General features: G+C 41.6%; 1 protein-coding gene across 3 annotated transcripts in view; it reads right to left on the minus strand.

Annotated features, from left to right (window-relative positions):
• TFCP2 (transcription factor CP2) overlaps positions 4338–16467 on the minus strand; it is a 79480-nt gene continuing 67350 nt past the window's right edge. For 2 of the 3 annotated variants that reach the window (NM_001173453.2, NM_001173452.2), the window contains 7 exons: positions 14837–14885; positions 14352–14445; positions 12617–12707; positions 10337–10461; positions 9458–9600; positions 6671–6722; positions 4438–5957 (listed from right to left, as the gene is read on the minus strand). In NM_001173453.2, the coding sequence (NP_001166924.1) occupies positions 5923–5957; positions 6671–6722; positions 9458–9600; positions 10337–10461; positions 12617–12707; positions 14352–14445; positions 14837–14885 (589 nt within the window). In that variant the 3' untranslated portion in view covers positions 4438–5922. Of the gene's footprint in view, positions 5961–6670; positions 6723–9457; positions 9601–10336; positions 10462–12616; positions 12708–14351; positions 14446–14836; positions 14886–16467 lie in introns of all 3 variants that reach the window. The other variant, NM_005653.5, reaches the window with a different exon arrangement.

Here is a 16467-nt window from a genome sequence, read left to right on the forward strand (position 1 = left end):
GAGCCCAGGAGGTCAAGGCTGCAGTGAGCTATGATGGTGCCACTGCCCTCCAGCCTAGGCAGCAAAGTGAGATCCTGCCTCAAACAAAACAAAACAAATTTGTTGGGTGTGGTGGCACATGCCTGTAGTCCTACCTACTCAGGAGACAGGCGAGAGGATCACTTGAGCCTAGGAGTTCAAGGCTACAGTGTGCTATGATCACACCACAGCCTGGGCAACAGAGCAGGACCCTGTCTCTTAAAAACAAAAAAAGAAGCTAAGAAAGAAATAGGCTGGGCGCAGTGGCTCATGCCTGTAATCCGAACACTTTGGGAGGTCAAGGCTGGTGGATCACTTGAGGTCAGAAGTTTGAGACCAGCTTGTCCAACCCGGTGAAACCCCGTCTCTACTAAAAATATAAAAATTAGCTGGGCGTGGTGGCACATACCTGTAATCCCAGCTACTGAGGAGGCTCAGGCAGGAGGATCGCTTGAACCCAGGAGGCAGAGGTTGCAGTGAGCTGAGGTCGCGCCACTGCACTCCAGCCTGGGTGACAGAGACTCTGTCTCAAAAAAAAAAAAAAGGAAAAAAAGAAAAAAAAAGAAATATATATATATATATATAAATGGGGCAGCTAGGTGGGACAATTGTGCCATTCCTACTGAGACTGGAGTTCTCATAAGACCCATGGCGGCCATAACAGATCAAATTCCTGTAGAGGAACCATCCGTGACCAAGGAAGCAGACCAATAATTCAGTAAAATGATAAAATGGTTCTTCAATTTCAGTTCTCCTGTCCCCCCAAATCTGGAATTGTTAGGTTTGGCCAGAGAAAAAAGCTACAAGAGGGAGAAGCTCAATCCTGACTTCAAATATTTGGACTCTAAATTGCTTTCAAGACTGAATACCGAAGCTCTGCTCAGCCCTTCATGGTGATTTGCAAGACAGTTCAAATCTCTGCGGTAACCCTATACAAAACACTTTCTCAGAATATGTGGGGATACACAGGGTTTTGAGAACACTCCTCCATTATGCATACATTAGAAATGGTTGGTGCCATTATCTCACACCTTCTTTACTTGCCAAGCTTCCCCCGGAACCTCCAGCTCAGAGATCATACTCTGCCCGCACAACATACCCAGTACCTGGACTTCCAGGAATCAGAACTTCAGCCCCTTCATGTGGACCTTACTTTTTTGTCACGTCTTGGGTTGTCTTTTTAAAATTTCTTTTTTTAGATAGAGTCAGTTTCTTTTTCTCTCTCTCTTTTCTCTCTTCTCTCTCTCATACAGGCTGGAGTGCAGTGGCACAACCTCCGCTCACTGCAACCTCCACCTCCTGGGTTCAAGCAATTCTTGTGCCTCAGCCTCCTGAGTAGCTGGGATTCCAGGCACCCACTACCACGCCCGGCTAATTTTTTTTTTTTTTTTGTATTTTTAGCAGAGACGGAGTTTCACCATGTTGGCCAGGCTGATCTCAAACTCCTGACCTCAGGTGATCTGTCCGCCTCAGCCTCCCAAAGCGCTAGGATTACAGGGGTGAGCCACCACGCCCAGCCATGTTTCCTCCATTTATATGACTTCTTAAATAAATCATTTACGTGGGCAAACATTCTCATTGGGCCATAACATTGAACAGTCAATCTCATTACTCAACAGCCACATTTCACGTACTGACTACTCAATCCTTAGAGTCCTGCAACAACTTCCCTCCCCTTTTATTAATATTTCGCAATAACTCCCTTTTAATTATCAAGTCTTTATACAGCAGATTTTTCTACATGGAACCTATTATACTTCAAAGGAGTACAGGCAATGGTAAGTCAAATAGGATGCTACGCCTCTTCTCTAAATGGCCTAGGCCGGTATGGTGGGTGGCTCACACTTGTAATCCCAGCATTTTGGGAGGCTGAGGCAGGAGGATGCTTGAGCCCAGGAGGTCAAGACCAGTATGGGCAATATAGGGAGACCCTGTCTCTACAAAAAAATACAAAATTAGCCAAGTGTGGTGGCACACACCTGTAGCCCCAGGTACTTGGGAGGCTGAGGTAGGAGGATCGCTTGAGCCTGGGAGGCAGAGGCTGCAGTGAGCTGAGATGGTGCCACTGCGCTCCAGCCTGGGTGACACGCACACACAAAAAAAGATGCATGTTCAAATATATGTGACCTAAATGGCATCCATACAGAATAACCAGTTTTTAAAAAGAATGATGTAGAACTAAAAATTCTAGTATAGTAAGATATTCAAGATATGCTAAATACAAAAATCAAATTGCAGGTCATTAGTATAACATGAGCCCATCTGTGTGTGTGTGTGTGTGTGTGTGTGTGTGTGTATGTGTGTGCATGTGTGATGGGGGAAATTCTTTGCAATGATTACCTCTACAGAGTGGGACTAAGAGGTAAGGGGGAAAGTTATATGATACCATTCTTTATTGTTTGAATTTATCATTCTGTGTATTACTTTCATAATGAAAAAGCTAGTATAAAATTTTCACTTAATTGAAAGGATTATTAGTGAACATATGCAATGTTTTAAAGCAAACTGAATAATTACAGTGTTCTAGCACTATGCCAATTCTTACCAATTATACATCACTGGCACAATAAAAATTTTTTGTAGCTAAAGAAAGCCTAAGAGATTTTCTGGTAAATTTAAGGATCTATAATTTCAAAGTTGTATAAGTTCATTTCCATAAATTCGAAGACTACTCTAAAAAACCCTGACTTCAGGTAAAAATAGTTAAGTGTAATTTATAGTCAATATATTAATAAAGGCCAGGCGTGGTGGCTCATGCCTGTAATCTCAACACTTTGGGAGGCCAAGGCAGGAGGACTGCTTGAGGCCAGGAGTTCAAGACTAGGTTGGCAACATGGTAAGATCCTGTCTCTACAAAAAAACATTAGCAGGGCTTCGTGGTGTGTGCCTGTAGTCCTAGCTACTTGGGAGGCTGAGGCAGGAGGATCACTTGAGCCTGGGAGTTTGAGGCTGCAGTGAGCTATAACTGGCACTGCACTCCAGCCTGGGTGACAGAGGGAGATATAATTCTTGTTTTGTTTTCTTTGAGATGGGGGTCTTACTTCGTCACTTAAGCTACAGTGCAGTGGCATGATCACAGCTCACTGCAGCCTCCAACCCTAGGCTCAAGTAATCACTGCCATACCTGGCTAATTTTTTTAACTTTTTGTAGAGATGGGGGGGCGGGTCTCACTTTGTTGCCCAGGCTGGTCTTGAACTCCTGACCTGGCTTAAAGTGATCCTCCCATTTTGGCCTCCTAAAGTGCTGGGCTTACAGGCATGAGCCACTGTGCCTCATCTATATATTTAATTTTATGCATCATTTGCAGTAAGAGTCACAAATGCAAAGATTTGGAAGAAACCTTAAAAGTCACCTAGCCTTGGGCCAGGTGCGGTGGCTCACACCTGTAATCCCAGCACTTTGGGAGGCCGAGGTGGGTGGATCATGAGGTCAGGAGTTCAAGACCAGCCTGGCCAACATAGTAAAACCCCATCTCTACTAAAAATAGAAAAATTAGCATGGCATGGTGGTCCGTGCCTGTAGTCCCAGCTACTCAGGAGGCTGAGGCAGGAGAATTGCTTGAACCCGGGAGGCAGAGGTTGCAAGTGAGCTGAGATCAGGCCATTTAACTCCAGCCTGGGCAACAGAGTGAGACTCCGTCTCAAAACAAAAAAGTCACCTAGTCTTGGCCAGGCACGGTGGCTCACACCTGTACTCCCAGCACTTTGGAAGATGAGACGGGGGATCACTTGAGCCCAGGAGTTCAAGACCAACCTGGCAGGCAACACAGTGAGACCTCATTTCTATATTTTATTTTATTAAAAAAAATTTTTTTGAGACAGTCTTGCTCTGTCACCCAGCCTGGAGTGCAGCAGCCTGATCTCAACTCATTGCAACCCCACCTCCCAGGTTTAAGCAATTCTCATGTCTTAGACTCCCAAGTAGCTGGGATTACAGGTGTGTGCCACCACGCCCAGCTAATTTTGTATTTTTAGTAGAGACAGGGTTTCACCATGTTGGCCAGGCTGGTCTTAATCTCCAGGCCTCAAGTGATCTGCTTGCCTCAGCCTCCCAAATTGTTGGGATTACAGGCATAAGCCACGGTGCCCAGACTCATTTCTATATTAAAAAAAAAAAAAAAGAAAAAGGCATCTAGTCCAACTTTCCTACCCAAACACCTAGACATAAAAAAAAAAAAAAAAAAAAAAAAAAAAATCCAAACCAATAGCAGCCTGCTGAGGAAAGAACTGAGGTTGAGAACCAGTACTAGGAATATAAGACAACCAGATACGTCTCCTCCTCAAAATGGAGACACCTGGTAATCATTCACTAAGAAGCATTTTGGTGTAATATAACAAGTTGCTCAGGTCAGTTTTAAACAAGTCATTGACTTAATTTTTTGGTTTCAAAGTTTTCAATTTGTTTCAAACCAAGAGAAATTAGACCATGATGCAGATTGAGTTTAATGAACAAAAATCTCTGTATAAAAAACATTTAAACCTTATCAAATGCTTTAAACACACACACACACACACACACACACAAATCCAAATCCAATACACAATCTTAGAACATTATCTTTGTGTACCTCAACATAACCTGTAAAAGTATTTCTAGATAAAACTTTACAAGTGAAGAAAGAAAACCCATGATGTTACACTTACACACTTACACACACACACACACACACACACAATCATTCTTAAGGAAGAACAAAAACATGGTAAGAGTGTGAACAGGAAGGGAATGCATCTTTTTTTGTAAAGCTTCTATTAAAAAACATAGCATGAGTAAAATAACTTCCTATGCCAAGAGAAGATGCAGAGAGAGGAAACAGAAAGCAGGGATGAGACTAACTCATTAATAAATAGTTTGAGAATGTCATTCAAGAACAGTAAATTTGGGGAGTTACAGATAATCCCCAGTTGTCACCACCTCAAATTCTTTGATTCCGATAACTAATGACACTTAAAAAGCATCTATGTGTTCATTTCTTGTAGGTCTTGATTTGTTCATCATTATTTAGGTGTGCTTTGTCTCTTTCAGTGGTTAATTCCTCAGTTCATACTCAGTGTTATGTTGTAGTCACCAGAAGGGCCACAGTAATAAGCGAAGTGAACACAGGTTATAATGGGTAGCACTGGTGGTATGAGAGGGTGAATAAGGAGGGCCAGATTGCCTGGTTTGGATTTCAGCATCACTGCCTGCCAGCTCCTGGCACCTAGCAAGCTACTTAGCCACTGTGTGTCTCCATTTCCTCATCTTCGGTTGGGGGTCACTATAGCACCTACTTCAGATAGTGTGATTAGGGGGTTAAACAAGATGGTCATTCAAAAAATTTATCACACTGCCTGGTCAATAAATGTTAGCTGAAAATACTATTAGTTGTGGTATTACAGGGGAACCAAAAGGAAAATTCTGTATTTCTCCTCACTGATAAAGTTTTCAGGGACAAACTGTGGCAAAAAGCAGAGATACCAGTACATTTGAGACCAGTACAAAGAGATTGAAGACCTAGTCTTATGAATATAGATACCCATTTTTATATAAGAAAAAAATTACAGGGCTCCATATCACAAAATTTAAGATCTTCCTGTTAAACATCACACAATTCCCATCATCATTATGCCCTACATACACTCTAAATTATGTAGAGTTTCTACTGATATTTAACAACAACAAGGTCCAGAAATTTAACTAAAACAGCTGCAGAACTGCATATTGGGCAGTAATCTGTGTGTACCACAAGAGCTTGGGCCAACACAGAGGGCCAGGATTCTGCCTCCATGGCCTGGACTCCTCCACACACAGTCAGACGAGTCAGGTTCTTGCAGACCTTCAAATCTCCATTCATATCCCCCTTCAAGAGGGCCGTTTTCAGAGGTGAAGGAAGGAGCAGCCACTGGGCACGAAACGCCGCACTCCTACTTCAGTATGATATGATAGCTATCATTGGTTTCTGCTGTTAAAAAAAAGAGAGAGAGAGAATCATCTTTAGTCACCTCTAAAACACAGCAGGAGAAAAAAAGTATGGTAAGATTCTCGTGAGAAGGGGAGAAAAGGGAGGTGGAGGTTGCAGTGAGCTGAGATCACGCCACTGGACTCCAGCTTGGGCAACAAGAGCGAAATTCTGTCTCAAAAAAAATGCATTATAAAAACAACATGCCTCAATTTCCTCATCTGTAATGGAAGATGGAAGAGAATGGCAAAAAGCTGGGCCAGGCACAGTGGCTCATGTCTGTAATCCCAGCACTTTGGGAGGCCAAGGTGGGTGGATCGCTTGAGGTCAGGAGTTCGAGACCAGCCTGGCCAACAAGGTGAAACCCATCTCTACTAAAAATACAAAAATTAGCCAGACATGGTGGCACGTGCCTGTAATCCCAGCTACTTGGGAGGCAGAGGGAGGAGAATCACTTGAACTTGGGAAGCGAAGGTTGTAGTGAGCCGAGATCATGCCACTGCACTCCAGCCTGGGCAACAGATCGAGACTCTGTTTCAAAAAAAAAAAAAAAAAAAAAAGCCAACTTAAAAAAAGGAACAATCTCTAATATTGTCACTTTCTTTACCCAAATATGGTTACTTTTCCTATCTCTCCTCAAAGAAGTATGTACTTTGCCTAGTAGTAGTAAAGCTGTTAAACTGCTTAGAGAAAGATGTTTGTCTTACTATTACCTTTCATTGTGTCCAGAATAAAACATGCTTCTTCCTGAAAGTTCTGTATCATCTGAAAAATGCAAGAAAATTTGTGATTATTTAAATGAAAAACAACCCCTTTATATTCCTGTGTCCCTAAGGACTACCCCACATCCAGAGGGATTTATATGGGAGGCTTTACAGGTCACAAATAATGTATTTCTTGAATATCTAGGATCATAAAAGTTTTTTCCTCCCCTCCCATTTGGTTTTTAAATATTAAAAAACTAAGCAGATTGGAAGAGTTGTTTTAAAGCCTGGTATGCATTTCCCTGGGTTAACCCCAAGACTCTCCAAGGAGCACACGGACACAAATATGTGCATACAGGAGAACTGACTTCCGTGTCTTCAACTCCCATATGTGCTCTTTCCTAAAACCTCTTTAATTTTCCTTCCCCACTTTCCCTTCTCAAACTCCCTTCTCCCAGGGATAAACTCCCTTCTCCCAAGATAAAGGCATGAGTTTCACCCTCCCAGGATCCTAATAAGGTGGCCCATGATGTGAAAGCTTCAGGTGGCAAAGTGGAATGGCGAAGGTGAACGCTAATAACTGAGCAATAGACCCTTTTATGAGCCACATGGTTTCTAACTCTTTCCTTTCACCAGAATTAAAGAGTAACCTAATCACAAATTGTCGTAAGACAGAGGATTCAAAATGATTTTTTGGTAATATCACTATGTAATTTCTGGTATATAATTCTGAAGTATAATCTAATGACATTGTCATTACAAAATTCCATCCATTCCTATCAATTTATGGGAATCAAGTCCCTCAGCATTTATATCTAGAGGAAAAAAACAGAATGGAATTGATGCTGAAATCCTGTGTCATTCTAGCAATCAATAGGCAGTATTCAGCTACAAAGGAAATAATTATGTGCAAGGGTACAGGTAGGGAACGAAACAATTTCATCGAACTCATTCATAGATATACCTGTAATAATTTTTTCTTAATTTTTTTTTTTTTTTCTGAGACAGAGTTTTGCTCTTGTTGCCCAGGCTGGAGCGCAATGCCCCCATCTCGGCTCACGCAACCTCCGCCTCCTGGGTTCAAGGGATTCTCCTGCCTCAGCCTCCTGAGTAGGTGGGATTATAGGCACGTGCCACCACACCCGGCTAATTTTGTATTTTAGTAGAGACAGGGTTTCTCTATGTTGGTCAAACTCCTGACCTCAGGTGATCTGCTTGCCTCGGCCTCCCAAAGTGCTGGGATTACAGGTGTGAGCCACTGTGCCTGGCCTTCTTTTTTTCTTTTTTTGGATGAAGTCTCGCTCTGTCGCCTAGGCTGGAGTGCGGTGGCGCAATCTTGGCTCACCGCAACCTCTGCCTCTCGGGTTCAAGCAGTTCTCTGCCTCAGCCTCCCAAGTAGCTGGGATTATAGGCACCTGCCATCATGCCCAGCTAATTTTTGTATTTTTAGTAGAGATGGGGTTTCACCATCTTGGACACGATGGTCTTGAACTTCTGACCTTGTGATCCACCCGTCTCAGCCTCCCAAAGTGCTGGGTTTACAGGCATGAGCCATTGCGCCTGGGCAGCCTTCTTAATCTTTAATAATTACTTATTAAAACATGTAGCATATTTACATTATTTTAATCAATTGTATAATTATGATAATTCCATTATAATAATTTTTAAATTTTTATTTAAAAACTTTATTTCAAACAAATATAGTAGGATAATCAATAAAAGATGTTTGTGCATAAAAATATGTTATGGTAAGATGGCCAGGCGTGGTGGTTCACATCTGTAATCCCAGCACTTCGGGAGGCTGAGGCGGGTTGATCACTTGAGGCCAGGAGTTCGAGACCAGACTGGCCACATGGTGAAACCCAGCCTCTACTAAAAATACAAAAATTAGCCAGGCATGGTGGTGGGTGCCTGTAATACCAGCTACTTGGGAGGCTGAGGCAGGAGAATTGCTTGAACCTAGGAGGCGGGGTTGCAGTGAGCCGAGATCACACCACCGCACAACAGCCTGGGCGACAGAGTGAGACTCTGTCTCAAAAAAAAAAAGTTACAGTAAGATAAAATTCACCGGGGGAAGTAAATGAAAATAAGAGTTCAAGGAAACAGAGGAATAGTATAAGAATTCTAACTGTTAAAGAAAAGCACAATCATGTATTTTTTTTTAATGGATGGTGGTGGTATTAAATCATTTTTGTATTAAGGTTACATGGGATGCAATTAGAATAATGATGTAACCATTTCACTTAAAAATGTCATTATATATGCCCAGAAATGACATCTTTTACAACTATTTAAACTTTAACAAAAAATTTTAAGTCAACCTAAAAATGTGCATGGGAATATGTGGTTTTTAAAATATTTTAGGACCAGGCGCAGTGGCTCACATCTGGAATCCCACCACTTTGGGAGGCCGAGGCGGGTGGATCACTTGAGGCCAGGAGTTTGAGACCAACCTGGCCAACATGGCAAAACCCCATCTCTACTAAAAATACAAAAATTAGCCAGGCGTGGTGGCGCACGCCTGTAATTCCCACTATTCGGGAAGCTGAGACAGGAGAATCACTTGAATCCAGGAGGAGGAGGTCGCAGTGACCTGAGATTGGGCCACTGCACTCCGGCCTGGGCAACAGAGAGAGACTGTTTCAAAAAAAAAAAAAATTAGGAGGAAAGCAAGCAAAAAAGTATGAAACCCTCTGATCTAGAAAACAGAACACTCTGCCCCAGGAGAACTGCTCTTGCTCCATGCGCTGACAAATTAATCATCATCTGGTAATTCAACTGTACTGAAAAATCTACCTCATCACTGATGAGCACATGAATTCCTGTTGGCCCCTGCTTGTAAATCTGGCTGATCTGGCAAGGGGAAATGCTGAAAAGCTGAGCAATTTTTTCTGTCAATTCAACAGCTGTTAGTTCTTCTAGATAGATAGCATGGTAAACTGCAAAAGGGAGAGAGCAACAGCAGTCAGTACAAAGTTTGTCCACTCTTACAGGTAACTTGATCACTAGGAATGCCCACTTTTCTGAAGGACTCAGAAATCACACTGCCTAAGTTCAAATCCTGGCTCAACCACTTGCAGCTGTGTGACCTAGGGCAAGTTATTTAACATTCCTAGGCCTGATTTTTCTTGCATAAATACCGGAGATAACAGTAAAATCCTCCGCAAAGAGGAGATATTAGTTGTAAATATTAAAGCATATAAAAAGTGTTAAGAATAGTACCTGGCTGGGTGTAGTGGTTTACACCTATAGTCCCAGCAATTTGGGAGGCTGAGGCAGGGAGATCGCTTGAGCCCAGGAGTTCAAGACCAGCCTGGGCAACATAGGGAGATCCCATCTCTACAATAAATAAAACAATTAGGCAAATGAGTAGCTTTAGTTCTAGCTACTCGGTAGGCTGAGGGGAGAGAATCACTTGAGCCCAGGTGGTCAAGGCTGCAATGAGTCATGATTGTGCCACTGTACTTCAGCCTGGGTAACTGAGTGAGACTCTGTCTCAAAAAAAAAAAAAAAGAATGGCACCTGCCATGTATTAGGAACTTAATAAATGCTAGTGATTATTGTTACTTCTAGCAAATACTAAATCTGCTGTTTGATAGTTTCCCATCACACATGCCCATAAGTTATCTCTTCACCTTTCTTCATATCTGTCCTAGTGTGTCCAGAACAACCTACCGAAGAAAGTACCATTTGAGTCTCCATCCTCATGCTTCTGCTGCTGTTGCTGCTGCTGTTGTTGCTGCTCCCTCAACTGCAGTGATTCCTGACAAACATAAATGGTTAACCTTGGACGCACCATCCTAAGGGGAGGAAAAAGGCTAATTAGTCTTACATTCTTTATGGTAAGCACAATAAAAAGAAGGGAGAAATTGTGTTTCTACATTAATCGTATAGAGCAGATGAAAATTGGAAGCTCATTGGCCAAATGCAATTAATTTGCTATGTTTTATTAGTTCCCCAGTAGTAGGGTTTTTTTTTTCCTTAAGTGGAATTAGTTCCAATATGAGACATCATATAAACCTCTGAACTTTTGGCTTTTCCTGAAGACTCAGATCTAGCAATCTTAGGCCTGCATTCTCACATGAAAACAATCAGCCGTTCTTCTTACATGATGCATATATTCTTCACTATACCCCAGTCTTGACTGCCATTCACTTACATTACCTGTATGTACTCTATAGTCATTTGAGTTTGTGGCCTTTGGTGTAAAAGTTAGAAATAGTCAAAATATAAAAGCCACCGTCTAATGGGTCAGGTTCAAGATATACTTTTTACTAAAAAATGCCAACACAGTAAACTAGATCATCTTATTTCTCTCATTACCTTCTCCTAACTAGCCTAAGTCCTTTCTCTGTTCTTCTTAGAGAAAGGTATTCAACTACCTCTTGATCTGATCATCTTACTCCTTCCAATTTCTAAACACCCTTTAGATAATATGCTTGAAAAAATGAAAGATCAATTATTTTTCCACAAGTCATCAACCCCTGATTTCACTTCCTTCCTTAAAATTTTCCAAGATTCAACATCCCTTATGATGTAGACAAAAACAAATATGACCAGGCACGGTGGCTCACATCTGTAATCCCAGCACTTTAGGAAGGCGAGTCAGAAGGATTGCTTGAGCTCAGGAGTTTGAGACCAGCCAGGGGAACACGGCAAAACCCCGCCTCTACAAAAAGTACAAAATTAGGCGGGCGTGGTGGTGCGTGCCTGTAGTCCCAGCTGCTCAGGGATCTAGGCAGGAGGATGGCTTGAGCCCAGGAAATCGAGGCTGCAGTGAGCCATGATTGCATTGCTGCACTCCAGGCTGGGTGACAGAGCAAGACCCTGTCTGAAGAAAAAAACCCCAAAACAAAAGCAAACCAAAAATAAATACTGCACACTCTGTTTTACTATGTAGTCACTGATTTAGTTCTGTTGCCATTGACCTAAATGCTTTTTTCATCAGTTACTACTACCTATTTAAAATTGTAAATCCCAAAAAAGGACCACAAATTACTATGTATTTTAACAATTGCAGGCAGACACTTCCTACCCACATTTGCCGGGTGCGGTGGCTCACGCCTGTAATCCCAGCACTTTGGGAGGCCAAGGCGGGTGGATCACGAGATCAGGAGATCGAGACCATCCTGGCTAACACGGTGAAACCCTGTCTCTACTAAAAAAATACAAAAAATTAGCTGGGCATGGTGGCAGGCGCCTGTAGTCCCAGCTACTCGGGAGGCTGAGGCAGGAGAATGGCGTGAACCCGGGAGGTGGAGCTTGCAGTGAGCCAAGATTGCTCCACTGTACTCCAGTCTGGGCGAAAGAGTGAGACTCTGTTTTCAAAAAAATTAAAAAAAAGTAATTCCCACCCACATTTAAGAATGACCACTTCTCCAGTTAAAACCAACTTGGGACCTTTGCACCTGTTGTTCCTTCTGCCTAGAACAGTCTCCCTTCCTGTGACTCCAGAGCTGCATCTTTCTCAGAACTCAGCTTAAGTATCCCCTCCTTGGAGAGGCCCTTCCTGACCATATTCTGGGCACCCTATAGCCCACAACCTTGTTTTTTGCTTATTTGTTTTGTTTTCCTTCAAAGCTCTTATCACTATCCACAATATTTATTATCTTACTCCCCATTAGAAAGTAAACTCCCTAACAATGGGCACCCTGTTTTGCTCACCAATATATTAATATTCCCAGAGCCTACAATAGTACCTGGCTCATGAAAAGGATGATGAATTTTCATTGGAAAATTCATTCACCTGGAAATGAAAAATGGAATATCATGGGGAATTCCTTGGACAAAGTGCAAGAAAACATTTTTCTAAAATCTTTATTTGGTACATAGCTGACATTTAAAACAAATGTTTTGAGAAGGTGTATTTAGCTGTGTAGAGTATTGTGAAGAATTCCTGAATCCAAATCCATTTGGAATCCCAACCTTATTGATATTTTAACACTAATTACATACCGGCCTTTTAATGCATTAAAAAGTCTGATTCCATCTGCAGGGCCACAGATTTGGATCACATCATCTCTAGTTAATTTCAATAAATCTGCCCCTGGAATAAATATAAGAAAATGGATGATAAAGGCAAAGATTCTCTTTGTTAATGACTATTAAAATGGGCTGTATTATAAGGACACCTCATTACCAGAATGTTACAATCCATAATTTTCTTCATGGCATATAAGGCCCTTCATGACCTGGCTCCTAGCTCCTCTCCCGTCTCAATTCCCCCCAATTAACCTCCCCACTTAACCCTATGCTTTCATCATACTGATGATGTCTAATGAGCAAGTTGTTCTTTCTGCCTGAAATAACCTTCCACTATCTAAGCTGGGCACAACATGCCTGTAGTCCCAGCTACTCGAGAAGCTGAGGTAGGAGGATTGTTGAGGCCAATCGACTGTTAGGAGTTCAAGACTGTTAGGCGTGGGCAACATAGCAAGACCCCATCTCTTAAAAAAAAAATCCTGGGCCAGGAGCAGTGACTCACGCCTGTAATCCCAGCACTTTGGGATGTCGAGGAGGGTGGATCATTTGAGGTCAGGAGTTCGAGACCAGCCTGGCCAACATGGTGAGACCCTGTCTCTATTAAAAATACAAAAATTAGTCGGGTGTGGTGGTGGGTGCCTGTAATCCCAGCTACTCGGGGGCTGAGGCAGGAGAATCGCTTGAACCCAGGAGGTAGAGGTTGCAGTGAGCTAAGATTGTGCTTCTGCACTCCAGCCTGGGTGACAGTGAGACTCCGTCTCAAAAAATAAATATATAAATAAATCCTGGATTCACCTCATGTGTCACACATGTTCCCTAACACCAATCCTCCCATGAACGTCTTACTGTCACTATCAGAACACTTATCTACAAAATCACAACTATTTATCATTTTTTCAGAGTTTTATTTTGATTCGATTAGTTGTGTTTTGTTTCGGTGCTTTTTTTTTTTTGGATACCAGATGATTAATGGGCTATTTGATCAGGAAGTATGCCTCATCCATTTGTGTATTCCTACCACATCAAAAAGTGCTAAATAGGCCAGATGCCGCAGCTCATACCTGTAATCCCAGCACTTTGGGAGGCCAAGAAGGGTGGATCACTTGAGGTCAGGAGTTCGAGACCAGCCTGGCCAATATGGTGAAACCCTGTCTCTACTAAAAATACATAAATTAGCTGGGTGTGATGGTAGGTGCCTATAATCCCAGCTAATCAGGAGGCTAAGGCAGGAGAATCACTTGAACCTGGGAGACGGAGGGTGCAGTGAGCCGAGATCATGCAACTGCACTCCAGCCTGGGTGACAGAGTGAGATTCCATCTCAAAGAAAAAGAAAAAAAAAGCTAAATAAAAGTGTATTGTGTAAATGAAATAAATTATAGTGATATCAAGGGGAAAATTTCAGACTACCTGCAAATGCCCCCTTGATAAAACTCTACGAAATATACATTTTAAAAAGCGTTGTATGAAATAAGCATTTTTAAATTAAATTGAATTTAAACTAAAAAGTGTTTGTTTTTAAGTATTTCACAGCACAGCTGCAGCTAGTGAGAAAGTCTTAAGGGTTCTATGAAATTCATTTCATCAGAAAAATGCAGTAAGATCTCTCATACACATATACACACACAACTCTCCCATGGATACCAGGAGGCCCTAGAATGCAAAGGAAAATTTCATGCTAGGGAAAACAAAAGAAAAAGAAAATTTAACCTGAGAAGTTTGTGAAAAGCCTTGTGAATGTAGAAAAACGATTTCGATGCAACCACTGCTGAGCTTCCTGAGGTGTGGTTGTTGGTAAGAGGTTCTGAAAGGGAGAGCACGTTTTTTAGATAACCAAATAGATTTGTCTGTTACCCCATTAGGTAACACATAGCCAAACACCCCACACAACCCCATACTCAGGCCTAGTTTGTGAAAGTTGTTTTCTCTTTCTCCAACCATGCAAGATGCTCAAGGAGTTCCATCCTTTTCTTCCCCACTAGACTATAAGCTGCTCAAATGGAAAGGTCCTGCATTACTTGTTTCATATCTTTAGTCCCTAGCACAGTATCTGGTTCATAGTCAAAATTCAATAAATGTTTGTTTAATGAATGAATGAATAATACTCCCTAAAAGTTGGGCATTTCTACTGAATTGGACAGTCATCAAAGTATTACCAGACATTGCAAGTAACTGACATTCAACTTTAGACTTACATCTGTGACTGGAGGGGGTGGCTCTGGCTGGTGGTTTGGTGAACCATTTCTAAAGAAACATTTAAAATGAAAGGATGAGTCCATGACACATGCTGGGGCTCATTATTTCATTCCTCAGCTTCACAATAAATCTCATGCTAGAGATTAAAAAAAAATCTGTGCTCTCTCATAACACATTCTTATTCTTTGACCCAATACTTTAATTTTCTATTAGTTTAACCTAAAGACTTTATGAGGAGGGGGAGAAACTATGTCATTAGCAATATTTTCTTATTATTGAGGAAACTGAAGAAAATATCAACATTTCAATAAATTGGGACTGATGAGATAAATTATGGCATAAAAATATTTAACCATAAATTTACTAAGATGAAAAATTATGAAAGAATAATTATCAAGAAAAAAATTTAAAAATAAAATGAAAAATATCAGGATAAAAAATTTTATCAATACATTACTACTGTAGGAAATACATAAATATGCACACATATACAAGAAAAATATTGGAAGAAAATTTATGCAATGCAATATCATCACACAGATTTAAAATAAAAAACAATTTTTTTTTTTTTTTTGAGACGGAGTCTCGCTCTCTTGCCCAGGCCGGAGTGCAGCGGCATGATCTCGGCTCACTGCAACCTCTGCCTCCCGGGTTCATGCCATTCTCCTGCCTCAGCCTACCGAGTAGCTGGGACTACAGGCGCCTGCCACTACACCCGGCTAATTTTTTTATATTTTTAGTAGAGACAGGGTTTCACTGTGTTAGCCAGGATGGTCTCGATCTCCTGACCTTGTGATCCGCCCGCCTCCGCCTCCCAAAGTGCTGGGATTACAGGCGTGAGCCACCGCGCCCGGCAAAAAAAATTATTTTTAAAGTAGCCCCAAAAATTAGTGCTGCCTAATTTATGATCCAAGGGTTATCTCCACACTCCAGTTTTTCTTTTTCTTTTTTTTTTTGAGACGGAGTTTCACTCGTTTGCCCAGGCTGGAGCGCAGTGGCATGATGTCAGCTCACTGCAACCTCTGCCCTCTGGTTTCAAGCGATTCTCCTGCCTCAGCCTCCCAAGTAGCTGGGATTACAGGCGCCCGCCGCCACACCTGGCTAATTTTTTTATTTTTAGTAGAGACGGGGTTTCACCATGTTGGCCAGGCTGGTCTCGAACTCCTGACATCGTAATCTGCCCACCTTGGCTTCCCAAAGTGCTGGGATTGCAGGTGTGAGCCACCGCGCCCAGCCTGTTTTTCTTTATACGTTCTTTGTCTATGAATTGTCCCTCTTCCCTAATGCCTACTTTTATGGAAGAAAAAGTTTAACTAGTATGAAGTACACGACAAAGAGAAGAGAAAAATTTTTAAACACAGCTCTTAAACCCTATATCATATTTGGAATTACCTATAAGTAGAATGTATCATCTATGTGGATGTTAAGATTTTTTTTTCTTTTAAAAAAAGATCTTTTTCCTTTTTTAGCCTTAGCTGCAAAATTCAAATTTGGTATTCGAACTTAGTAATTAACTTATCTTAGGGCCCTACTTATATGTATTCCCTCTACAACTAATACCTACTTTTATTCTTAATTGTTACGTTTTAAATATTTAAGCTACCTTAATTAAATCCTTTAAAAAGTAGGT

Source organism: Homo sapiens, chromosome 12 (assembly GCF_000001405.40).
Source record: "Homo sapiens chromosome 12, GRCh38.p14 Primary Assembly".
NCBI classification, from domain to species: Eukaryota; Metazoa; Chordata; class Mammalia; order Primates; family Hominidae; genus Homo; species Homo sapiens.